Here is a 24498-nt window from a genome sequence, read left to right on the forward strand (position 1 = left end):
ACTAACCCTAGTTCTGCGGCCGAGAGGGGCTAACGTACGCACCACCAGCCCCTAGACAAACACAAACGCATGTGAGTTTTAGGTTCCACCGTTGTCACTTCAGCCCAGGGTCAGTAAACATTTTCTGTAAACGGCCAGATGGTAAATATTTTAGAATTTGTGGGCCGTACGGTCTTTGCTGCCATGATTCAACCCTGCCATTGTAGCATAAAAGCCACCTTAGGCAATCCACAAACAAACGGGCATGGCTGTGTCCCCATAAAACTTTACAGGCAGTGAAATTTGAATTTCACATAATTTTCATATGTCATGAAACAGAATTCCTCTTTTGATTTGTTCAACCATTTTAAAATGCAAAAACCCACTTTTGGCTCTCGGACTGTATGAAAACAGCCCCTTTGGCTGTCGGCCTGTCGTTTGCTGACCTCTTCTAGACGATTTAATTTCCACACTGACACTATTGCCTAAGGCCCATTTCCAGATTTTCTTTGGCATTGCCCTTCGAGCAGGCTCTGAGACACGAACATGTGACAGAAAGTGGAAAGGTTATTTTTCTTCCAGCTCCAGCCCGGCCTGTCTCCAAACATGGGAGGAGCCTATTGAAGGAAGATTCCTCACTCCTCTGCACCTCCCTCAAGGTCTGAGCCTGCACATTCTTCAGGGGTTAAGCTGCTTTGGCGGAGGCAGAGAGGGCAGAAGGGGACGATGGTGTGGCAGGAGACCCCTCCCACGAGCATCAAATCTTCCACACAAGGCACTGTGTTCACAAAAAGCCTCTTGTGAGTGGTGTTTTGTGGTGAGCTATTTATTCATTCCTTCTATAAATATTTCTTGGGCACCTACCTGGTGCCAAGCCCTGTCCTAGGCACAAGGATACAACCAGGAGCAAAACAAAGTCCCCGCCCTCTCCAGGCCCACATTCCTGCAATGGGAGCGAAAGGGCCGAGCTTCCTGTCTCAGTGGACAGGATGAACAGCAGCAGGAGGGTGCATTCAGCCCCAGGGTAGAGAAGACCCACGGAGCCCCTGCCTCACGAATGGGATGAAAGTGTGGGTGGCACCCAGGCCTTCCTAACAGTGGGATGGGCAGTTCCACCCGAGGTCACCTGGATTCCTGATAGCCCGGGGAAGCAGCTGCTGACATCTGAGTCACACACTCGAGCACATGCCCATGCCCATAAGTCACCTCGTTAAGTGCTCCTGACCCAGGAAATACAACCTAACTTGACCCACCCCTAGCCCTTCATTCACCCGGTGCAGCTGTAATTGGCACCCACCCATCCCCCGTCATCACATCTCCCCTCAAAGAAGAGGGAAAGCCTGCATTTGCTGGGAGAGGACAGAGGCCAAGAGAGTGTGCCAAGCAGGGAGGCCCAAAGAGGGATTTCTGACCAGGTGGGTGAGAAGGAGAAGGAAGGGCTGGAAGAACCACATGGACAAAGCCAGAGGCAGGGGTGCCCAGGACACCTCCAGGGCAGTGAGCAGGCCAGTCTGCCACAGGACACAGTCATCTGGGAGAATCGTGTATCCTCCCATCCGGGGACCCAGACTCCTGGCTAGAAAAAGCAGATGTTCCTAGCACTTTGGGAGGCCAAGGTGGATGGATCGCCTGAGGTCAGGTGTTCAAGACCAGCCTCGCCAACATAGCAAAACTCCATCTCTACTAAAAGTACAAAAAAAAAAATTGCCAGGTGTACTGGTGCAGGCCTGTAATCCCAGCTACTTGGGAGGTTGATGGGGAAGAATCGCTTGAGCCTGGGAGGAGGAAGTTGTAGTTAGAAGAGATCAAGCCACTGTACTCCAGCCTGGGCAACAGAGAGAGACTCCGTCTAATACAAAAAACAAGAAACAAAAACAAAAACAAGTATTATCACCACTCCCCAAGGACCACATAGAACTCCAAACCTGTCTTCTGCTCTGCTGCCACACGACCTTCCTAAAACGTAATCCCAATTGTGTCTCTTTCCTGCCTAAACCCCACTGGTGTTCCTCCCCAGCTGCCTTGGAAATAAATCTGCACTCCTGGCTAGCACCCAAGGTCCTGGAGATCCAGCCCCACCCACCCTGACACCCTGATACCCCACACTCCCTCCAGCACAATGTCTTCCAGCCGCACTGAGCCACCAGCCTCTGCCTGCTCATGTGTGGCTCAACTCTAACCAGGCCAGGGGAGAGGGACCCTGGGAAGTGTGGCTCTCCCCTGAGTGAGTCAGAGTAGCACCTTCCAGGGCAGCCTCCCCCTGGGATGTGTCCACCTGCCTAACACAGGCCAGGCAGCTGGTGTTGTATTATTATGTAAACTCTGCATAATGGCAAAGGCAATCGCCCCATTTCACAGCTGAGGACTGAAAGCCATTTGCCCGAGGTCACATGGCCAGTGAGTGGTGGAGCCAGGGCTGTCGCCCCATCAGTGTCCGTGATCTTTCCTCCAGGGAGTCTGAAGCCTTCACTTGCATGACATTGCTTGGGACAGACATTAAAACGCAGAGTCGGCCGGGCACGGTGGCTCAGGCCTGTAATCCCAGCACTTTCGGAGGCCCAGGCGGGCGGATCATGAGGTGAAGAGATCAAGACCATGCTGGCCAACATAGTGAAACTTCATCTCTACTAAAAATACAAGAATTTTTATTTGGGAGTGGTGGCACGTGCCTGTAGTCCCAGCTACTTGGGAGGCTGAGGCAGGAGAATCACTTGAACCTGGGAGGCAAAGGTTGCAGTGAGCCGAGATCACGCCACTAAAAACCACAGAGTCCTGGGCCCCAGCCTCACAGATGTGCTGATCTTAAGTGTCTGGGGTGCAGCATGAGACTCTGCATTGTCCCAAGCAGCCCAGGCGATCAGCGTGAGGCCCCTCACCCCTACTCCCCTGTCCTCTCTTCCACGGTCTCTGGTCCTCAGCTACAATTCGGATTTCCCAAAAGGGCAGGCAGGTGGGATTTAGTCTTATGACTAGGCTTTGCAGAGACAGTGATGCCAGACAGAAAGGGAGACGGAAGGGGAGCTGAGGAGGCCGAGGTGGAGCTGCAGGGCTGACTCCACCATTCCTGGTTGCAATCTCACCCCACCCTGCTTCTTTGGGCCTCAGTTTCTCTATCTGTACCATAGATGTGGTGGTGCCTGCATGCGCAGGGAACAGGGTGCTGCAGGTCCCCCCATAATGGTCCTTATTTCTAGGGCCTGCCCTTGCCTTCTTGCTGTCTACAGTAGAGAAGACCTTCCCAAGGTGAGTGTGTGGGGTTGTCAGGCCTGGAATCTCATCAGTCCCACACAAGCCTGTTAGAACAAGCAGTTTTCCCGATGGAAGAGGTTCTAATGACTGCACACAAAGAGGCAAATGGAAGATACAAATACCAGCAACTCAAGTCATAAATACTTACTTTCTCTTTTAACATTTTTACGATACTCCCTCTTTTCAGATGCAATAATTTACACTAATGTGTTCCTCCCACCATGCCTTCTATTCCTCTGACATCTGTTTAAACGTCAGGACAGCAGGACGAGAGTAAATCACATTATACTCATTATATGTATTTAATTCTACCGTGTGCTGCTGAAACCATAGCAGCCTCATGTACAGACCCAACAGCCACAAACACCAATGTTGTTCTTTGCCTTATCTTGATGAATTAGGCATAAATCGTAACTCCAGCAAAGTGGAAAAGTACCAAAATGCCATCGAGTTGGTCTGGCTGTTTTTTAAGGAGTTGGAATGGAACATTCTTGTTGGGAGCCATGAATCAGCGTCTGGAGGACCCGCCACCAAACACTTAACACCAGAACTTTGGGAGGATGCAGGGAGAGAAATGCTACTTGTTTCCTAAGATCACGTGGTTGGGAAAATATCTCAAATGGACTCTCGCTGAGGTCTGAAGTCATTTAAAGAGAGAGAAGACGTCTCCATAGCGATTAGGTTCCACTTCATGGGAAGAAAAAAACCCGAAAAGCAATGAAACGTGGCTTAAACAGACAAGATTTGCTCCTCCAGCATAAAAGAGTGGGCCTTGGAGCTGGGACGGTGCTTCTATGAAGTTGACAGGGGTCTAGTCTCTTCCTGCCTCCCTGCAATGTGGCCCTTCATTTTATGGTCCCAGGTGGCTGCCTGAGCTCCAGCCAACATGTCCAACTTTCTGACAGCAAGATGGAAGAAGAAAGGCCATGTCCTTCCCTTTAAGAAAAAGAAAAAAGACTATTTTTTAGAACAGTTTCAGATTTGCCAAAAAATTGTGAATATAGCACAGAGTTCCCAGAGTGTATACCCCATATGCAATTGCCCCCATTATTAGCATATTTTTTGTTGTTTTGTTTTGTTGAGACAGAGTCTTGCCCTGTCACCCAGGTTGGAGTGGAGTGGTGCCGTGTCAACTCACTGCAACCTCCGCCTTCCAGGGTCAAACAATTCTCCTGCCTCAGCCTCTGAAGTAGCTGGGACTACAGGTGCATGCCACCATGCCCGGCTAATTTTTTTTCTGCATTTTTAGTAGCTACAGGGCTTCACCACTTTGGCCAGGCTGGTCTTGAACTCCTGGCCTCAAGTGATCCTCCTGCCTCAGCCTCCCAAAGTGCTGGGACTACAGGCGTGAGCTACTGTGCCCAGCCCATTATTAACATCTTATGTTAGTATGGTGCATTTGGTATAATTAGTGAACAAATACTGACACATTATCATTAACTAAAGTCTACGCTTTCTCTAGGCTTCCCTAGTTTTTGCCTAATGTGTGTTTCCTGTTCCAGGATCTCAGGTGAATTTAGTTGTCATGCCTCCTTAGGCTCCTCTTGGCTTCATCCCCTTCCCTTTTAATTTAAGGAGACGTCCTGGAGGTATCACATGACACTTCCTCTTACTGCTCATTGGCCAGAACTTAGTCACATGGTTGCACATAGCTGCAAGGAAGGCTGGGAAATGAGTCCTTTCCAGGTAGCCATGTGCCCAGCTGAACCTAAGGAGAGGTGGAGAATGGTTTCTGGGAATAGTGAACAGGCACTGCCACAGCAGGGTCTTAAGAGACCACTTCAGTCGGCTGTCTGCTGCAGGCTGACATGCTCCCAACAGCTGCATTTTGTGGAAGCAACTGCAGCCCAGGACAGTTAAGTGACTACTTCAAGATCACAGAGCCACTCCCTGGGGAGAGGGACAGCACATGTCCCTCCACTCTGCCAGGCTCCCTGGGCTCTCCCCTTCTCTTCATCTCGGAGCTTGTTTCGGAGCAGATGCCAGCTGTCATCCTGTTCCCACGCCAAGCCCCATTTCAGGCCTGGAGTCTGCCAAGAGTCTGCCCTTATCCCTGAGCTGGGTCAGATGGTCCTGCCCTGTCACCCTAGCCTGGATCGAACTGACCGGCTTGCCAGCCAATCTGTTCTTCTGGGAGCTTTTCTGGAGCGTCTGCACTGTGGCAGGCACTGTCGTAAGCCTCTTTACACTTGGAGTCTTGGAGTTCTCGAAGCAAACGCAGAGTTAAGCATTGTTACCGAGGCTCCCGGAGGTGAATCTGCCAAGGTCACAGCCAGTAGAAGGTGGAGCTGGGATCCCAATCAGGCCGTCTCGGGAGCCCACACTTGGGCCCCGTGTGACACAGTTGCAGAGCTCTAAGAGCTCATCTAACTCACGTGGGGACAGCGGGCGTCTGTATGTCTCTCTGGAGACTCTCGTGGTTCTGGAGGCCAAAAGTCCAAAATCAAGGAGTCCGCAAAGCTGGTCCCTTCTTGGGAAGTCAGGAGGAGAATCCGTTCCTTCCTCCCTCCCTGCTTCTGTTGCTGCCAGCGGTTCCTAGTGTTCTCTGGCTCGTAGACGCATCGTTCTGCTCTCTGTCTCCATTGTTTCCCAAGCCTACTCCCTGAGTGTCTGTCCAAACTCATCTTAACTTGATGACAGCTGCTCGATGACACCTTTTCGGAAAGTAAGGTCACATCCCCAGCTACAGAGGGTTACGACTAGGATCTACCCTTCTGGGGGTCACAAGCAGCCCACAACAAAGGGAGGTGCATAGGTACGTGCATAGGGAGGTGCTCGGCAGCCCAGGAGAGCTGCCGTGAGTGTGGTCAACTGTGGCCTTCCTGCTTACCTGTTTATTTTTGCCTGCCCTAACAATCAAGACGCCAGCAAGAAATCGATGTCCCTCTTACATGGTGACTTGGAAAGAGTTTCATATGAGGACAATTTACAGAAGACAGCAACAAGGGTGGTACAGCTCTCCTCCCCCTGCAAAACATAAACAGCAGGGAGCAGAGACCACCACCATGACTGAGGGGTTGGTGGGGGAGTTACTGGAACCCCAGACACAAAGAGGCCCAGTGGAGAGGGGCCTGTCCAACAGGAGCTGTGGCCTTCTTCAGAGGGACACAGCCAGCCTATGTACAAGTCTGTAGCAAGGCCAGTGACTACCCAGCTTCTCTCCCCACCTCCCTCGCATCTCTTGCTGTATCTTGATTTGGCTGAACTCAACAAGATGCCAGGGCAAAGGAGCCTGATTAATACGATGCAGGGGAGTCCACGTTACAATCTCTGAGGGCACAGAGGGAAAAGGAAGGAGAGGCAGACACAGGGAGCAGCTGGAAAGTGTCCAGTGCATCCACCCAGCACCCAAAACACCCTGCCCAAACGTCTGTGGTGCCAAATGCTCAGTGTGCAAGCTCCCCAGCAGTGGGGGCGTAGCAAGTGACAACCACTGGCGTGCACTTGGACATTGGAGTCTGGACTCGTGTGGCCAAGAAGCTGGAAGAGAGGAGAACCACTTCTGGAGATGGTGCTCCTGACAGCTTCACTGCACCCGCTCCCTGGGGTGCCAATGGCCGCAGCGCAGGGGGCTGGGGCTCATGCTGTGGCCTCCGAGCCCAGCTCTGGTGGTGGAAGCTGCACCCCACCAGCCTGATTCTATGCTTTCATTTCCCAGGCTCTCATTTCCACATCTTAAAGCCTTCTGGAAATTCTGTAAGCTTTTCAGTATCCCTTTCCAAATTCCTTTGCTGCTGAGTAAGGCAGAATGAGTGTCTGTTGCTCCAACCAAGAGCCCTCTGTGATACTGAGCAGGGGCAGCAGTCAGGGTCCTGGAAGGAAAGAGGCAGCACCCTTGGCTGGCGATCTGGAGAGCCTTTAATGAAGGGACCAGTTACAGAGGCTCACACAGGTGAAGACAGCCAGAGACAAGCCTTTAATGAAGGGACCAGTTACAGAGGCTCACACAGGTGAAGACAGCCAGAGACAAGCCTTTAATGAAGGGACCAGTTACAGAGGCTCACACAGGTGAAGACAGCCAGAGACAAGCCACGGCGGGATGCCATGGCCAGCCTGAGACTAGAGAGGGCAAGGGGAGCTTGGAAGCATCAGAGATACGGAAGAGAGGAGCTGTGGTGAGAGAAGGACAGGGCCACCGGCAGGAGGAAGAAATGGCCTGACATCTCTCGTCCTGCACACCACTCTGCTGAAGGCACCTCCCGCAGCTGAACCCAACCGGAAGCCAGGGAGAGGATGAGGGGGTTCAGGCTCTGTCGTCTCCAGAGTTCAGAGGTGGACAGAGAAGACTGGCACTGGAGCTGGGGAGCACAGTGAAGGGTAGCCAGCCCCAAGGAAGGCCAGGGGCATGGGCGCAGGGCCCACTGCAGGCCTGGGCACTATCGAGACACGTTCTCCACGCGACCTCATTGAATCTTGACGGTGGCCCTGCTGAACAGCCTTGGAGGTGGGCTGACGGGATGCAGCCCCGGGGCCGGTCTGACTCAGCACCAGAGTGGCAGCTACCTCACTTGAGCCCACAGCAGCCCTGCTGGCTGAGCAGGGCAGACGCACTGTTACTGTTTTCACCATGAAGCAAATGGGCTCAAAGAGGTTAAGTTGGTGTCTTGAGTATGTATATATGCGCAGGGGCTCACTGCTGTAACAAGCAACCCCAGGTTTCAGGAGCTTCACCTGACTCATGCTCCTCTCTCGGCACAGAATGTGGGGCAGTAGGGTGGGTGGTTGGCTCCATGGAGCCATTCGAGAGTCCAGGACCCGTTTTCTAGGTCTTGGAGTTTCTTTCCCTGGAGCTCAGTGTCCGGCCAGTAGACAGAAAAAAGAAATCATAGCAAATGGCAGGAGAAGTTTCAGGGGCAGCTGGCACTCTTTCCCATGTCCGCTGGCCAGAGCTCAGTCTCGGGTCCTGCCTGGCTTCCCGGGGTGGGAGATGAAGTCGGCCTGTTGCCGCGAGGGAGGGAGCTACGTGCATAGGGAGGTGCTCGGGCTGCTCTGCAGGGCACCCCCGAGGCGGGCCCGTGGCAGGCCGCACGGAATACAGAACCCTGTCGCTGGGAAGGGTGAGGGTCAGAGGTGGGAGACGGGGTGGGGAGGGGAGCAGTGCCCACTGTGCACACCTTAGAACCTTGGCCAGGGTTTTGGAAGCCATTGAAGGGAGTGGTGTCAGCTTGCCTGAGGGTCCTCAGCTAGTTAGGCACAACCCGGGGCCCCAAGCCGAGCTGGGAATTTTAGCTCTTGGAGCTCTGCCTCCGCCACACCGTGCACCCTGCACGGAAAGCTCGGAAATCACCCCAGCTTTCCTAGACGGTGTCTGCTACCTCTCACATCTTCCAGGCTTTGGATCTCATTCCCTTCCCCCAAGCCTAATGCATCATGCTTGCCCTTATGAAATTTCCCGGGAGCACTGTGAGACTCTGGGATCCAGAGGGCTCCAAGTTTGGGGTAGGCAGAGCCCTTCGCCTGCCCTGCGTGAGTCCAGCCCACAGTTTCTAGGAGACGCCAGGGAACATACCGCAGGCAAGTCGCCGCAGAGCTGGCTGCAAGACAGGCGGCCTTACAAATTGCTCTGTTAAACCTAAAAGCTCCAGCAATCCCAGGGATTACGAGGCGCCCTGGCGAGGCCTTGTTAGGACCGGCCTCCGGGAGAACACGGAGGGTATTTACATTTGTTGAAGGGCTCATTTTCGTGAAGGATGACAGGGCCTCGGCCCCAGAGGATCATGTGTGCATGGGCTTTTTATTTCCAGCAAACACTCAAACTCTCAAGGGTCAGATACAGTGCAAGGCAGAAATCATGCTCAGCTGCAGGCAGGGATGTGGCCGTGTGCTGACCCAGTGCCCTGGAGCCAAGGGGTTTCTTCAGTTCTGGTTTCCGTGAGCTTGGCAAAGGTGACACCTGTATCAGATACCTCGTCTCTACTACTAGATCACCGCAGTCTCACCTGCGGTCTTTGGCTCCTTACTCTAGGCACCACTATGGCAGCCAGACCTTCATGGTTCCAAACACATTCTGCAAAGCACCTTACTGTGTCCACGCTGGACATAGTCCTCCTCCCACTCTGGGGACTTCCTGTCACCTTGGAGGCCGTGGATGCTGTGGCACCTGCCCAGTGCCCAGCCACGCACCAACAGGAAAGACTTCATGCATCATAGAGTAGATAATTGGCCGATGGGCAGCATGAACCAGTGGGCAAATTGTTCTCTTCTCTCCTCCTTGGATGGTTGTCCTGAGAAGCAGTTGTCTATATGGATTTTTGGAAGAGTCCCCTAAAACTGTGCAATCAATTGCTCCTAATACCAAGTGCTGGCCAGTTCAGTATTGAACCCTCCCTGGGATTCCACCCCCTAATCCAATGGCAGAACATTAGGTTTGCCTTGACTTCGGTTTTCTGGGGAACATGCACTCATATACGCACTCTGTACACACACACTTGCACATGTATGGAAATGGCGATTGATCCTTTCTTGATCCCAATAAGTCATGGGATCTCTCTTTTCTTCCCACACAATGATTAACAACAACAATGTCATGGTCATCACTATCTATCATTTATAGAGCTCTGTGGCAGAGACCAGCAACTCGTTCTCCAAATCATTTTCCTTTTCCTCCGAGGAACACAGCCATCCACATTTCCCAACCTCCCTTGCAGTTAGGGGGAAATGAGTGATTGAGTTGTGGCCAATGACAAGTGACAAAAGTGATATTGACCACTTCCGGGCCTGATCCATCAAAATCTAGCATGCCAGCTCCCATCCTCCATCCTCTCCACCTGCTGAATTAAGAGGTCTCCCGATACCTGGGAGGAGGAGAGCCTCCCATGAGAACCAACCAGCTGGGAAAATCAGTGCTGCACTGTTATGTAATGAAGAAAAAACTTGCTGCGTATGGAGCCTCTGACACGTGGGGATTAGGGTTTGCAATGAGAAAACCATCCTCATAAGTGTGACTTGCCTGGTTTTGCCTCAGTGGACTTCTATGCACTACCTCATTTAATCTTTTTGTTTGTTTGTTTTTTAGACAGAGTCTCACTCTGTTGCCCAAGCTGGAGTGCAATGATGTGATCTCGGCTCACTGCAACCTCTACCTTGTGGGTTCAAGTGGTTCTCCTGCCTCAGCCTCCAGAGTAGCTGGGATTACAGGTGCCTCCCACCACACCCAGCTAATTTTTTGTATTTTTAGTAGAGACAGGGTTTCACCATGTTGGGTAGGCTGGTTTTGAACTCCTGAACTCAGGTGATCCGCCCGCCCCGGCCTCCCAAAATGTTCGGATTACAGGTGTGAGCCACTGCACCTGCCCTAATCTTTTTTAAATTCTGTACTTTATTAGTGAAGTATGTTGCTCTACCTGCCCCACCCCACAATACGAATCTCACCCAGGATCCCCATCCTTTTCCCTCATTCCCCCTTCCCCCTCGACACCCCTGCACAAGTGCACCAGGAGTCCCTGACCACTGGCCATTTGGAGTGTGTCCATTGGGTAGCAATGTGGAAACCCCCAGGGCCGGTGTGAAAACCCTCCGGGCCTTTGTGGGGAACATGGAGGGGGCCGAGGGAGTCCTAGGAGGGGCTTATTTGAGGGTCCTGGCCACTTGCTTGCAGACCAGTTTGATCTCCTCATCATGTGGACAGGTAGGGGTGAATTCTTCCCAGGCATAGGCACTGCCCAAGCACCGATGCCATCCCCGGAAGGTCTCAGGGATGGGGAAGCCCTGGTACTTCTCACAGTCCACCTGGACTATGCAGAGCTTTGACAACAGGCTGCACTCAACCAGGGAGAGCTCGTTGCCATCGAGAAACCTCTTCTGAGAGATGCCCTCATCTTCAGCACTGCTGTCATCCACTTCTTCTGGGAAGGGGGATGTTGAGTAACTGTCTAAAACCTTCAGGGCTCTCAGGAGCCCCTTGTCCAGAGTATCGTTGAGTCCTGCATTTGAACTTGATGTAGGCAGAAAAGTCGGCAAATACATCCAGCCCAGCTGTGTTTGACTCAGGATTTAGAGCTCTTAGCTTGGGGTACCTGCAGGGGAACAGCACTGCCTCCAGAAATTCCTCAATCTTTTGGGTGTCTATGTGTGCTTCCATGCCACGCAGCAGGAACAGGAGCTGCCCTTCTGGGCACAGCTTCTGCACTGTCACGGTCTACCTCTTGGTGTCAATGGTGGTGATGTTGAAAGTGACTCCTTTGAGCCAGAGCACCATGAACAGTCTCTAGAAGAAGGGGCAGTTCCTGGCCAAGCGCGGTGGCTCACGCCTATAATCCCAGCACTTTGGGAGGCCGAGGTGGGTGGATCACCTGAGGTCGGGAGTTCGAGACCAGCCTCGCCAACATGGAGAAACCCCGTCTCTACTAAAAATACAAAATTAGCTGGGCGTGGTGGTGCGTGCCTGTAATCCCAGCTACTCGAGACGCTGAGGCAGGAGAATCGTTTGAACCCGGGAGGCAGAGGTTGCAGTGAACCGAGATCGTGCCATTGCACTCCAGCCTGGGCAACAAAAGTGAAATTTTGTCTCAATTAAAAAAAAAAAAAAAAAAAGAAGGGGCAGTTCCCAGTCTTGGCTCCATCACTGCCAGCCTTCAAGAGCAATTTCACCTGTGGTTGTTCTTCAGCCATGGTTGCATCAGGGCCCATTTAATCTTCACAAAGAAAGTACAATTATCATTGCAACTGGCCTGGTGCTGAGATTGAGACTCGAAGAGATCACAGTACTTAGAAGCTCACATAATTAGCAAACGGAGGGGATCTCTCAAAATTTTAAGCTAACTAGAACTCTTGCCATCATGAAACATGTCCACCTCCACTTTATAGATGAAGAGACTAAAGTCCATAGAAGACCAATGACCAGTTGAGGTACCACTCAGTTTGCTAGCATGCCAATGGGCAGTTCTCTAGACCCCCAATCTCCTAAGCCATCATGGACTGACAAGTGTCTTCATAGTCCTTTGCTGTCTTTCCCAGAGAAGGAGGCAAATTATCCATTTAGAGGAAGCAATGATCAAAGAAATAAATCAGTCGTATCCAATAACTTGGTGTTGAGTCTGATAGACACTGGGCAGAGAAGCAATCGTGTTGCAATGCAGGGAATAGACAGGGTTGGAAGTGGCCCCTCTGCTAACCAGCTATGTGACTTGGAACAAGTGACTTAGCCTCTCTCTGTCTCTAGGACCTCATTTGTAAAATGAAGCTAGTAATGTCACCTGCCCAAAACAATTGTTGGATAGTTTCTAACAAAGTTTTTTGCACTACCCCGTGTAGCTAGCACATGTTAAGCCCTCAAACATTAGCTGTTATTTTATTTCACTATGTGGTCAGTCCAAGGCTACCCACATTTGCCAGCTCATCCTATGTCTGCCTAGTCTCTCTCTCTCTTTTTTTTTTTGTCCCTCCAAAGTATTTATCTCACTTTCCTGCCTCACAAATCCATGGCCACACACTGACTCCCCTCCCCCCTCATTAAACCAGGCTTTCAGGAAAAGATCTAATATCAGTCAGATAATGTAAACCATCGAGATACCTCGCCTGGGGAGCTTTGCTAGTTCAGCCTAAGCTTTCAGTGAAGGTGCAAGCAACAGAGCTTCCTGGGACAGGGATTTGGAGTCTGAGCTGGCAGGCGTGGGGCAGATGCAGAGGATGGAGAACCCCTGCGGCAGTGCCCAGGTGGATGTCCTCTCCCACTCCCTGCTCGGATGCCCTGGACTATGTATCATTTAGGCACTTGGATCTGAGTCACCAGATGGCAGGGATGGCTTCAGCCTTCTCTCTGAGCCAAACTGAAAGCTCATAATATCCACCCCAGCTTGGCTTTGTGGTTTTCTGTTTTGCTCATTCCCAAAACAAGGTCCTCCGGAGGATGGAGGTCTGGTCCTCCAGATAGAGGATGATCTGTGTGATTCCTGGGAAGGGTGGGGTGAAAGCAATTATCTTTGAAGCACCAGAGACACTTTTCCAGAGAAGGATGTGGACTGTAAGGAATGGGGGAGTGTGGGAGAAATACAAAACATTCTACCAGAAAGTGCAGAAGGCCTCCGAATAGAGCATGATCTGAGGAGTCTTAGGTTCCTCCCACCTCCTCAACAGCAACTGTTCATCCATTCATCCACCCATCCAATCTTCATTCCATTAATTCTTCCTTTTACTCACACAGCTATCCATCCATCCATCCATCTATCTATCCATTCATCCATCTATCCGTCAATCCATCCATCCATTTATCCATCCTTTCATCCTTTTATTCATCCATCCATTTATCCATCCATCCTTTCTTCTATCACCATCCTTCCATCCATCCGTCCACCATTCCATCCTTCTATTCATCCATCCATCCATTTATCCACCCTTCCATCGTTTTATTCATCCATCCATTTACCCATCTATCCTTTTTTTCTGTCATCATCCATCCATCTGTCCATTTATCCATCCTTCCATCCTTCTATTCATCCATCCTTCCTTTCTTCTATCATCCTCCATCCATTCATCCACCTTTCCTCCCTTCATTCCTTCCACCCACCCAACCATCTACCTATTTATTTGTTGACTACATCATTATCAAGGTGTTAAATGTGGGCCAAGCACTATGCTAAGCACTGAGTCTATGATATTGAGCAGGAAGACACCGACTGCCTCCCCTACCCCAACTCAAGCTCATTGGCCAATGAAGCTTTCACAGAGATAATGATTCAGCTGTTGTCTTGTCCAGGCTCCATTAAAAGGAGACCTTGGCTGGATGCTGTGGCTCACGTCTGTAATCCCAGCACTTTGGGAGGCCAAGGCGGGTGGATCTCCTGAGGTCGGGAGTTTGAGACCTGCCTGACCAACATGGAGAAACTCTGCCTCTACTAAAAATACAAAACTAGCCAGGTGTGGTGGTGCATGCCTGTAATCCCAGCTACTCAGGAGGCTGAGGCAGGAGAATCACTTGTAACAAGGAGGTGGAGGTTGTGGTGAGCTGAGATCGTGCCATTGCACTCCAGCCTGGCAACAGGAGCGAAATTCTATCTCAAAAAATAAAAAAGAAAAGAAAGTAGACCCTGAGGCAAGCAATGCAAGCAGGGTGTTTGGAAAATGATCCCAGGAAATACTTACAGGGGAGTGAAGAAGTGAGGCAAAAAAGGGAAGGCTGTCAATAAAAGGTTCACTATCGAGAGACTGCGTGCCGTGGGTACCTGGAGCTGTATCCTGCTGGAAAACTATAGGAGGCTATGCCTCAGAATCATCCCAGCTGATGGATGGGAGAGGTGGGATAGCTCTTCTCTGACTGTGGTCGCCAGTGGTTGAGGGATGCTTCAGCAGTACCTGAGCATCCCTGGGGCCCAGGGGAGCAGAGCCAGATCCCTATTCAAAGGAGCTGCGCATGGGATGGGGGCAGGGACAACACACAGGGGGAAAGAGTGAGTGAGCATCTTAACATTTTACACGACCTTTAACATCTTTTCATGTCTGTGCAGGCACACAAATGTTTTGAAAGGGTGAGCAAAGACAAGGCAAAGTGCAGTGAGGCTGCTGTGTATGAGCCCAACACACACAGGTGAACAGCCATGCCCAATGCAAGCACAAAGCAACTGGAAGACTCATTAAAGCATGGTACAGAATAACACAGCATTACAGTACTTACAAAGCATCTGGGCATTACTCTCACAAGGAAAGTGCAGAACTTTCATGGAGAAATGGAAAACGTTATTAAGATGTGAAAGAAACCTGAACCAATGAAAAGCAATCCGGTTTGTGGGTGGGATGACTGAAATGCATGGAGCTGCCATTTCCCTTTGAGTTTAACCTTCGCATCCCATGAAGCAGCTGCCAAATCCAAACAGAACCCTTGAAGGATTTGACACGCTGATTTTCTAAAATGCACATGAAAGAATAAACTTCCACAGACAGCTATGATTAATTCGAAAAAATGCAAAATGTGATCTTTACCTTCCAGTCCATTACAGTGTTTGATGCCAACATCCCAGGATACATTTTACATATTTTTATTTACATTTTTTATAGAAACCTTTAAATTTTAATAATAATAGTTGAAAAGTCTCATGATAATTCAAGTTGCTTTAATTTAATTTCCCTAACATGTCCCATTGCCTGACATTTCAATTGTTTCCAGTTTTTTTAATCATAATTTTTAAAACCTCATGGAGAAATTTCTTGATATCAGAAACAGCTGGCATCCTCTGAGTACTGGCTTTGCTTTTATTTTATGGGCACTGTAAATTTCGATATCGTCCTATTTACCTCTGACTTTGGGAGATGAGATAACTCAGAGCCGATCTGTGGCCAGCGCCTGAGACCCCCACGCTGGACATTTCTTGCTGCAACCTCACTGCAGGGGCGTTTGTCACCCCCACCCTCACCTGTCTTGGCTTAATGTTCACCAGATGTAATCACTGTAAGCAGATTTGTGCAAACTGCCAGTGGGCACCGTGCTGAGATCCTTACATCACTTCTGCAATCGCCACTGTAGCCCGGAGGCGGCTGTTACTACCATCCTTGTTCTAATCAGATGACAAGTGGAAGCTCAGTGAGATGAGGTGACCTCCCAAAGCCACACTGTAAGCAAGGGACACCTGGGCTTTAAACCCAGCGTATGTGATTCCAAATGCAGGCCCTTTCTGGTATGTTCTGCTGCTGCAGTGCCCAAATCTTTGCAAACCACTTTATAGCCCTTAGGAAGCTGGAGCCGTGAAGTCCATGCAAACTACAGCACATGCCTAGTCTTATTTATAACGCAGTGAACATCCTAATGTGTAGATTATAGCCTGGCATTTGTCCCTTGGCCAAAAATGTAGCTTTAAGTTTGTGCCAGTCATGATGAAATGAACTTTCCACCAGGTCAACTGATTCCCCAGCCAACACCACCTGCCGGCTGCCCTGGCTGTGATCTCGAGGCAGCATTCTCCAGGGTTCCTTGACAAAGCAGCGGCATTGAGAACAAGTGCAGTGGGAAAGGTCCCCCTCCCCAGGTGAGCAGGGAGAAGGGCTGAGAGTGATGTTGCTGCAGAGGACATGGTAGACAGGACTGGAGACGCCTAGAAAGACGTCTCCTACTGGGGGTGGGGGCTGGGTCCAGTGCAGCCCCCCACTTACTGCCTTGCTGAGAGGAGAAGGCACCTGGCCCAAGGTGGCAGCATCGCCTGACCTAGGGAAGCCACCTGGGAAACTCCCCCGCCCTGCCGTGCACTGCCATGCAACAATACGCCTGTGTCTCTCCTGTGTGGCCAGTGCAGCGGTCATGAAGAAATCATGATGCCCCGACCTAGAAGAAGTCATAATGCCGCACCTAGAAGAAGTCATGATGCCCCATCTAGAAATCCACCTGACCAATGGGACGTGTTAGGGAAATTAAATTAAAGCAACTTGAATTATCTTGAGACTTTTAAACGATTATTATAGTTTATTATAGATCGTAAAGTCTTACACCTTAGGATCCATAACCATGCTCACAGTTGTTCTTATAAACTACCTGTGGGTCAGGTGTGGTGACTTATACCTATAAACTCAACACTGTGGGAGGCCGAGGCAGGACGATCTCTTGAGCTCAGGAGTTGGAGGCCAGCCTGGGAATCATAGCAAGACCCCATTTCTAGAAAAAATAAATACATAAATAAATAAATAAAACGTCATCTGGCTGTGGTGGTGCATACCTGTTGTCCCAGCTACTTGGGAGGCTGAGGCCGTAGGATTACCAAACTCCAGGGGGTCGAGGCTGCAGTGAGCCATGATGACAACACTCCACTCCAGCCTGGGTGACAGAGCCAGACCCTGTCTCTAAAAAGAAAAAAATCCACCTGACCAATCAAAGGGAAAACTGGGCTTGTAAATACCCTCATGTTAGTGGAAGCCTTCTATAGACATGGATGCATTCTCTGTCACAAAAAACAACGAAAGCATCTGAGCTAAGATTTGGGTGCATTTTTTCCAAATTCTCCTTAAGGTTTTTCTAGTTTTTACTTGAAAACAAGAAAAGCGCATGTCCTCACCCCTGTGCGGCAGAAGGCCGGGCTTTGGGTGTTCTCTCCAAACCATTAGGACCCCTCTTCTCCCAAATCACCCTATTTTCTGCAATCACAGAGATTTTCCTCTTCCATTAGAGGAGCGCATATGGGGATGAATTGTTAAGAAATTTGCTCAGAGAAGGTCCGTTCCTGGGCTCAGCTTCCATGGCAGACAGTAAAAGCCAGATCAATCCCCACAAATGACAGATTCAGTCAAAGCCCCTGGAGGCCCCGGGTGCGTCCTGGAATTCTCCTTATAAAGAATCCCGGGGCCAGTGTGGGCCAGCTCGAGCTCAGGAAGGGGAGCCAGGCGGTCTGGGGGCGAGTCGTAGCCCAGCCACCTGCACACTGTGTGACATCAGGATACAGATCTCCCCCTCTGGGCCTCAGTTTATACGTCCACCGGATAAAGAGGTTGAAGCGGGTGAAGGCTCAGTTTCCCTGAACCCATCTGAATGCTGTCAATGCTTTTCTCCACCTCCTCAGGACTGATCTGTCTGGTGGGGTAATTCTTTGTCACGGGGCCTGTCCTGCACCTGGTAGAAAGTTATGCAGCATCCCTGGCTTTTTACCCATCAGATGCCAGTAGCACACCCCACTCTCTCTCTCCAAGTTGTGACAATCAACAATGTTTCCTCACATTGGCAAATCTAGACCTCGGCCCCTGGTGATGCTCACAGATGTTGGCCTGAGCAGAGCCTGGGAGCACTGGGCATTGAAGGAGGTGGTCGCAGCTGCAAGCCGGGGCTGGCTGTGTGGTCCCTGAGGCCCTCGTATCACCAGAAGGCCCACCCAGCCTTGCAGAGCAGGCTGCTGTCCGTGCACATGATGGATGCTCGACCCAAGCACCGGTTATAGGTCCTGCAGGCAGGGGAAGGCGCAGTTCCCTCTATACAGGAGCAATCTGGGCCTTCCTGGAGGCCACTGAGGGCTTTTCATCCTGGACGCAGGAGAACCAAGGCAGGTCTGGCAGGGCAGGGAGGACGGGACAAAGCTATGTCCCTGGAGCAGCCCAGATGGCCAGTTCACTCAGAGCAGCACAGCCTTGCTCCTCCAGGAAGGGGGGTCGTGTTCCCCGCACCCTCCCTTTCATGTTACCGTGAGCTGTTCTACGTGGAACTTTGAGTGTGACTGTCTGAGTATGGTTTTCCTTCCTCTGCAGGAGCTCCTGAAGGCCTGAATCAGGGTTTCACAGCCATCGTCGAGGGCTGCAGGTGAAACTCTAAGACCTAACCTTGTGGTCTGGGGTGATTCAAGGCCAATGACCCCCCCACCCCCCATGCTGCCTCCCTCCTGGCACACCACTCCAGGAGGAGTCAGGTCACAGGGCCTGGGCAAGAAGATGGGTTGAGAGGCTGGGAGGACCAGCCCAGCCACGGCAGAGCCGAGCTCTGGAAACCTGAGGCTTGGCCAAGCTCAAGGAACTAGAAGCCACCATATTCCCTCAACAAACCCTAATCCTGGTCCAGCCAACTCATAATCCTTTGAAAACTGCTGTCCTTTATCTGGGCAGTGTGTTCCTTCTCGGAATGAACATTTCCAGTTGAATGAAAGCTTCCTGGAACCAGTATCCCATGTTTTTGTCCCAAATGATGAGAACACACCGCCAGGAGATCCAAAACCAGCCGAGTTACGGCTGAACCTGTTCTAAATACAGCAACGTTTTGCCAGAAATGAGCCAGACCAGCCATAGCCGAGCCCAGCCAGTGCCCAGAGCAGGTTGGCTCAGGCTACAAAGACGTCCTCCAACCACTGTCATGGGTTGAAAAGTTAGTCCGGAGGTTACTTCAATTCATAACAAATCCCGACTGAGTCAATGCACAGTGGAATTTAAGGTTCAAGGCATAATTAATTGTTTGTGTTTGAGTTAAAACCTACACAAGTCACTCATTCAGTTGTCAGTCTGGGTTTCTTGAGTGCCCACCTGAGGGTCGGGCAGTGCTCCAGAAAGCAGCAGCAAAGCCCCTGACCTGGAGAAGATGTGCAGGGCTCAGGGGGCAAGAGGCCCTGCTGGGGACACAGTGTGTCGGGGGCATGGCGTGTGGGGGACACTGTGGAGGCCAGGGTGACTAGTGACACAGGAACCAGGGAGAGTGAGGCCCTGATGTTGGAGGACCAGCCAGGGAGAGGGGGTATACAGGCCAGATTCTGGGGCGTCTTGTAAGCTGTGGCATGGGCACACTCACACACTCACACATACACCTTGCATACTTGCACACTCACGCCCACAAGCACGTACATATTTGCACACACACTCTCCCTCTCTCACACTCAGACATATACACACTCACTGGCACACTCACATACACTCTTGCACGTTCATGCTCAATCTCACACTCACACACATATTCACACAGTCTCACACATAACGTGCACTCACACTTCCTCATGCATATGTTCACACACTGGCTCGCATTCACCATCACACACATTCTGGCACACTCACTCACAGTCACACACACACATGTACTCGGTGGCACACACATTCACATATACTCACACCTACACACACACTAACACACCTGCACTCACAGCAACACATTACATGCTCACTCACACCCTCACACCCACACGCACACAGGCACACACCCTTTCAGGGAGTATTTCCATCTCATTTCTGACCGTTCTGCTCCAGAGACTCAAGCTTGCCTCAAGCCTGCACTTCCCTGCCCCATAAATCTCCTGGAAGCCAGCGCGACCTCCTCGACTTCCGCATAGTGCTGGAGGGGCAGGCAGGAGGCTGTGAAGCTCAGGGTTGATGTACACAGTAGGCGCTCAGCGGACGTCAGCTTGGTGTCGCGACATCGATGTAACTGGTAAAAAAAACCCCGCACACGTGAACTGGCCGCAACACGAGGAGGGGTTTGTCTTCCCAGACAGGGCAGCCGGGATCCCCTGCCTCGCCCTCTCCTCCTCCCCTGAAAACAGTGGGCCACGTGGGGAGCCTGAGGCAGTGGGCAGGGGGCTCAGGCCTGGAGTGGGAGGCTGAAACAGTGGGCACCGAAAGGAGAGAGCAGGCAGATCCAACACCTGGCCTCGTGCAGGATTGGCCAGAGCTCATTCTGCCCGTGGCTTTACGAGTGAGTGAACATAGATTCTTTGGAGGCAGCCTGGACCGGGCATTCGGTGCTGGGGCCGTGATGCTGAGGAGATGAGATACCATCATTCCACTCAAAGAGCTTCCGATGGCCGGGGGCCCTGGCTGGCTGGCTGGGCACCCAGCCTCAGGGTCCCTGCTCCTCGCAGATGCAGGGGTACCACCCTCTCCGCAGCAGAACCGTGGCTCCTAACGGGAAGGGGAGGTATTTACGAGGGGGCGAAGTCCGGCTGTTGGCCGCCAGCCAGCTCACATCCTTTGCAGAAGGCAAGGTTTTTTTCAGACTTCCATGTCCTATTGAGTATTTCTGACACAGAGAAAAAAAATAAAAATAAAAATAATGATTTTAATAAGTTAGTATGATTTAAATTAGAAGATGTGAACATCACCTCACATGAGCGCCTTACAGAGGCAAAAGAAAAACATATTTTCCCTGGACAGATATGAGTCTGACTCTGCAGACCCGTGGGCCCTTTCTGCCTGTTAAATCAGCCAGGGCTGAAGACAGCAGTGATCTCCAGAGCTGGCAGCTGCCATGGGGAATCTGGGAGCCTGCGACATCACCAGTGGGGGTGTAAATTCTTATGGTCCTTTGGGAAATGATTTAAAGATATGTATTAAGAACGATAAAAAAAGTCATATACCTTGACTTAGTAAAATCTCGCTTTTAGTCAAAGGAAATGAGCAAACAAGAATTTAAAAGTTCTATGCATGAAAATGTTCCTGCCAATGGCTTTAGGTTAGAGAAAAGAGAGACGCCCAGAAGCCAGAAACTGGGGTGTTACATCGTCAACACCAACGTAGTGAGATATTACATGGCCTTTAAAATAGAAAATGAGAGAACCAAGCCATGCTTATATATACATATACATATGTATGTATATGTCGAGACAGGGTCTCACTCTGTCACCCAGAACTAGAATGCAATGGTGCAATCATGGCTCACTGCAGGCTCAAGAGATCCTCCCATCTCAGCCTCCCGAATAGATGAGAATACAGGTGTGTGCCGCCACCATGCCCAGCTAATTGTTTAAATTTTTGTAGAGATGGGGTCTCACTCACTATGTTGCCCAGGTTGGCCTCAAACTCCTGGGCTCAAACAATCCTCCCACCTTAGCCTCCCAAAGTGCCAGGATTACAGGCATGAGCCACCATACCCAGCGCATGCTTATAATTTTCTAAGTGAAGAAGCAGATTGCATTAGAACAATAAAAAAGAATCCCAAGAGCATCTGCAAAGAATATAGGGAAACATAGAGAAGTTCTACAGGAAAGGGTGGCCCACAGAGGTAGCATGGTTATGAGGCAACTATCATTTTCAAATTTCGAGGCCTATGGAAGGAAGGTAAGGTTGTTTCTGTGATTTACAATGCTGAATAAATTAAATAAAACTAGCACTGCCTAGTGGACAGGTAGAGGATGGTTGGAAGAAAGGGCCCCTCAAGCTCCAGGTGCCTCATGGCTTGCCAAGCCCAGCACCTCCAGAGTTTATTCCTTGTGCTCCTACTAAGCGTTCGATGCCAGGTTGACCTGCACATAGTGGCTGCAGCATCTACATGCACAACTCAGCAGTGAGATTGCAGCTCCAAGGTCCAGTGTGCCTGAGCTCAAACGCCACCCAGCACCTCCCAGCTGCATGCTCTTGGGACAGGACCATCTCATCTAGCTTCCATCTCCTCTCTCAGCCCCTCTCTGTCATTGATAACCTCCATCCAGAACACACCAAGTTCCTATAAGTGATAGCTAATTCCATTACTCAAATATGTGCTATGTCTGACTTGAGGCCTTTCCAATAAAAGTGCATTAGCAACTCCCAACCTTAACACTTTACTATACTTTTGGGGAAAAAGTTAAATATAAAAAAAAAATCCTCAGTTTTGGATGGTGAGTATCTACTTGCCTAGAGGTGGCGGCTGGAGGTGGCTGTCAGGACCCCTCAAGTCTCCTGAAAGTCTACAACCCTGCAATCAATCCTTGCTCTTTGCCACGGCTCTGCCCAGAGTAGGAGGCATTCCGGAACTCAAGGTTGAGCTGTCTTTTAGCTTTTCATCAGCGTGAGATGCCTTTGGTCTCCAATCAATTGTATATCTCACTTGAATGTAAAAGCACATGGCTTCCCTCTTCTCTTTTAACAACTCACATGCATTGTTTGGCTTTCAGGCCTCCATCCTCCAAAATCCCATGTTGGGTGCCCATAAAAATGCATAGGCCCTGGCTTTCCTGTTTTCCAGGCACTGGCTCACTCAGGAAATGCATCAGCACGTTGGTTTTCACTCCGGTTCCCAGGCGCATGATGGAAACTCACATCGTTTCTGAGTTTGTAGCTCTGGCTTGCTGCTGCCCAGAACTCTACTCTCTGAAGACGAGTCTTAAACAATGGAGCTGTCCAGGCAATTATCCGAAGCCAATGGCAGCCAATCATCCATTCCTTGGCCCATGTGCTCAAATAGCAAATACCTACTAAGTGTGTGCCATGTACCTTCAAGGAGGGGAGGCTTTGTGAGGGAGTATTTCAGCCAACTAGTGCTGTGTAACAAATCACCCCAAAACGGAGTGCTTAAAACAACAGTCATTTTATTCTCTCCTATACTAGTTTGCTAGAAGTACGGGAGCAAAGTACTGCACAATGAGTGGCTTAAACAACAGAAATTTATTCTCTCAATTTCTGGAGGCCAGAAGTCCAAGAGTAAGGTGACTGCAGGGCTGGTTCCTTCCAGGGCTGCAAGGGAGGCTCCACTCCAGGCCTCTCTCCGGCTTTGGTGGTTGTGGGCAATCTTTGACATTCCATGGCTTACAGATGCATCCCCCCAATCTCAGCCTACATCTGACATTCTCCTCGTGTCTTCCTGTGCCTCTGTGCCCAATTTTCCTCTTTTTATAAGGACACCAGTCATATTGGATTAGGGCCCACCCTAAAGACCTGATTTCAACCTTGTTGCCTCTGTAAAAACCCTATTACTGAATATGGTCACCTTCTGCAGTCCTAGGAGTTAGGGCTCCAACATATCTTTTCTGGGAGGACACAGTTCAACCCGTGGCATGTCCCATGGGTTCTGTGGTCAGGAAGGGCTCAGCTGGGTGGTTCTGGCTCATCATATCTCAGGGTTGCAGACAATGGTGGCTGGAAACAAGACAGGGACAAGGACAAGGGTGCAGCTGCAGCATCTAGAGGTGTGCTGGGCTCCTCTCTTCATGTAGCCCCAAGCCCTTTCCATGAGGTCTCACTGTGTGGGCTGTTCGGGCCTCCTCGCATCATGGTGGTCTCCAAGCATTGAGGCTGCTCACTGCCAGCTGAGAGCTTCGAGAGACAGTCTCACAGGGAGTCACAGGGAAGCTGCCTTGTCCTTTGTGGCCTAGCTTGGGAAGTCACATAGCATCATTTCTGCCATCCTCTGGTGGTCCAAACAGTCACAAACACTTGCTGAATTTCAGGAACAGGGACATCAACCACATCCGTTAATATGAAGACTGTCAGAGTCACATGTGTGATGGGAAATATTGTTGCAGCCATCTTTGGAAGATGAGATTGGCCATAAAGAGACAGAGCAGTAAGCAGACATGTTGCATTGCAGTGCAATGGCTGCAAATGTCCAGGTAAGGATGGCTCCCAGGAAAACAGAAAGACTGGGCCCCTAGACCAGTGAGGAACCTAGGAAGTCTTCCCAGAGGAGGTGAGGCAGGGACCTGAAAGGTGGGCAAGCAGCAGTTGGCTGGACAGGGTGGGACCTGGGGGGCAGTCTCAGCAGAGGGAGCCATCCGTGCCACGCTCAGGAGGCGGGAGAAGGGGTGCACATTCTGCAAAAGGCTGAAATTCCAGGGCAACAGAGTCCAACCAGCCTCCGCCACAGTATCTTAGGTTTCTTAAGCTCCCAGTCCACTGCATTGCAAGCTTTAATAACTACAATCGTTTCTACTTTATGCAATGAACCCAGACTAGTAAGTTGTGTAACTTCCGCCCCTGGGGTCCTCGATTTGTTCATGTAATTCCACGGAACTCATTATCCTGAAATGGACTCTGTGTCTAGATCATGGATCCATAAACTTTTTCTGCAAAAGGCCACATAGTAAATAGTTTAGCCCTTGTGGGGCACACAGTCACTGACACAATTACTCAACTCCTTCTTTGTAGCAGAAAAGCAGCCAGAGACAAGACGTAAATAAATGTACATGGCTATGTTCCAATAAAGCT

General features: G+C 50.6%; 1 pseudogene, besides 4 other annotated features; it reads right to left on the reverse strand.

Moving 5' to 3' along the window:
- Positions 544-1044: an enhancer, noted in NCBI's record as "H3K4me1 hESC enhancer chr16:86458196-86458696 (GRCh37/hg19 assembly coordinates)". NCBI's record gives its function as "activates a minimal SCP1, AML or CMV promoter by ChIP-STARR-seq in naive H9 embryonic stem cells {active_cell/tissue: H9 hESC(naive)}" and the evidence as "EXISTENCE:reporter gene assay evidence [ECO:0000049][PMID:30033119]".
- Positions 544-1151: a biological region, named in NCBI's record as "Sharpr-MPRA regulatory region 1422".
- Positions 857-1151: an enhancer, noted in NCBI's record as "tiled region #1422; HepG2 Activating non-DNase unmatched - State 20:ReprD". NCBI's record gives its function as "activates a minimal TATA promoter and a strong SV40 promoter by Sharpr-MPRA in HepG2 cells {active_cell/tissue: HepG2}" and the evidence as "EXISTENCE:reporter gene assay evidence [ECO:0000049][PMID:27701403]".
- Positions 9248-9477: a silencer, noted in NCBI's record as "fragment chr16:86466900-86467129 (GRCh37/hg19 assembly coordinates)". NCBI's record gives its function as "represses an EF-1alpha promoter that drives an FKBP-Casp9 reporter gene in an ReSE screen in phorbol 12-myristate 13-acetate-treated (for megakaryocytic differentiation) K562 erythroleukemia cells {active_cell/tissue: K562(+PMA)}" and the evidence as "EXISTENCE:reporter gene assay evidence [ECO:0000049][PMID:32094911]".
- On the reverse strand, positions 10798-11452 carry LOC401864 (chloride intracellular channel 1 pseudogene; annotated as a pseudogene).

Source organism: Homo sapiens, chromosome 16 (genome assembly GCF_000001405.40).
Source record: "Homo sapiens chromosome 16, GRCh38.p14 Primary Assembly".
NCBI lineage: Eukaryota > Metazoa > Chordata > Mammalia > Primates > Hominidae > Homo > Homo sapiens.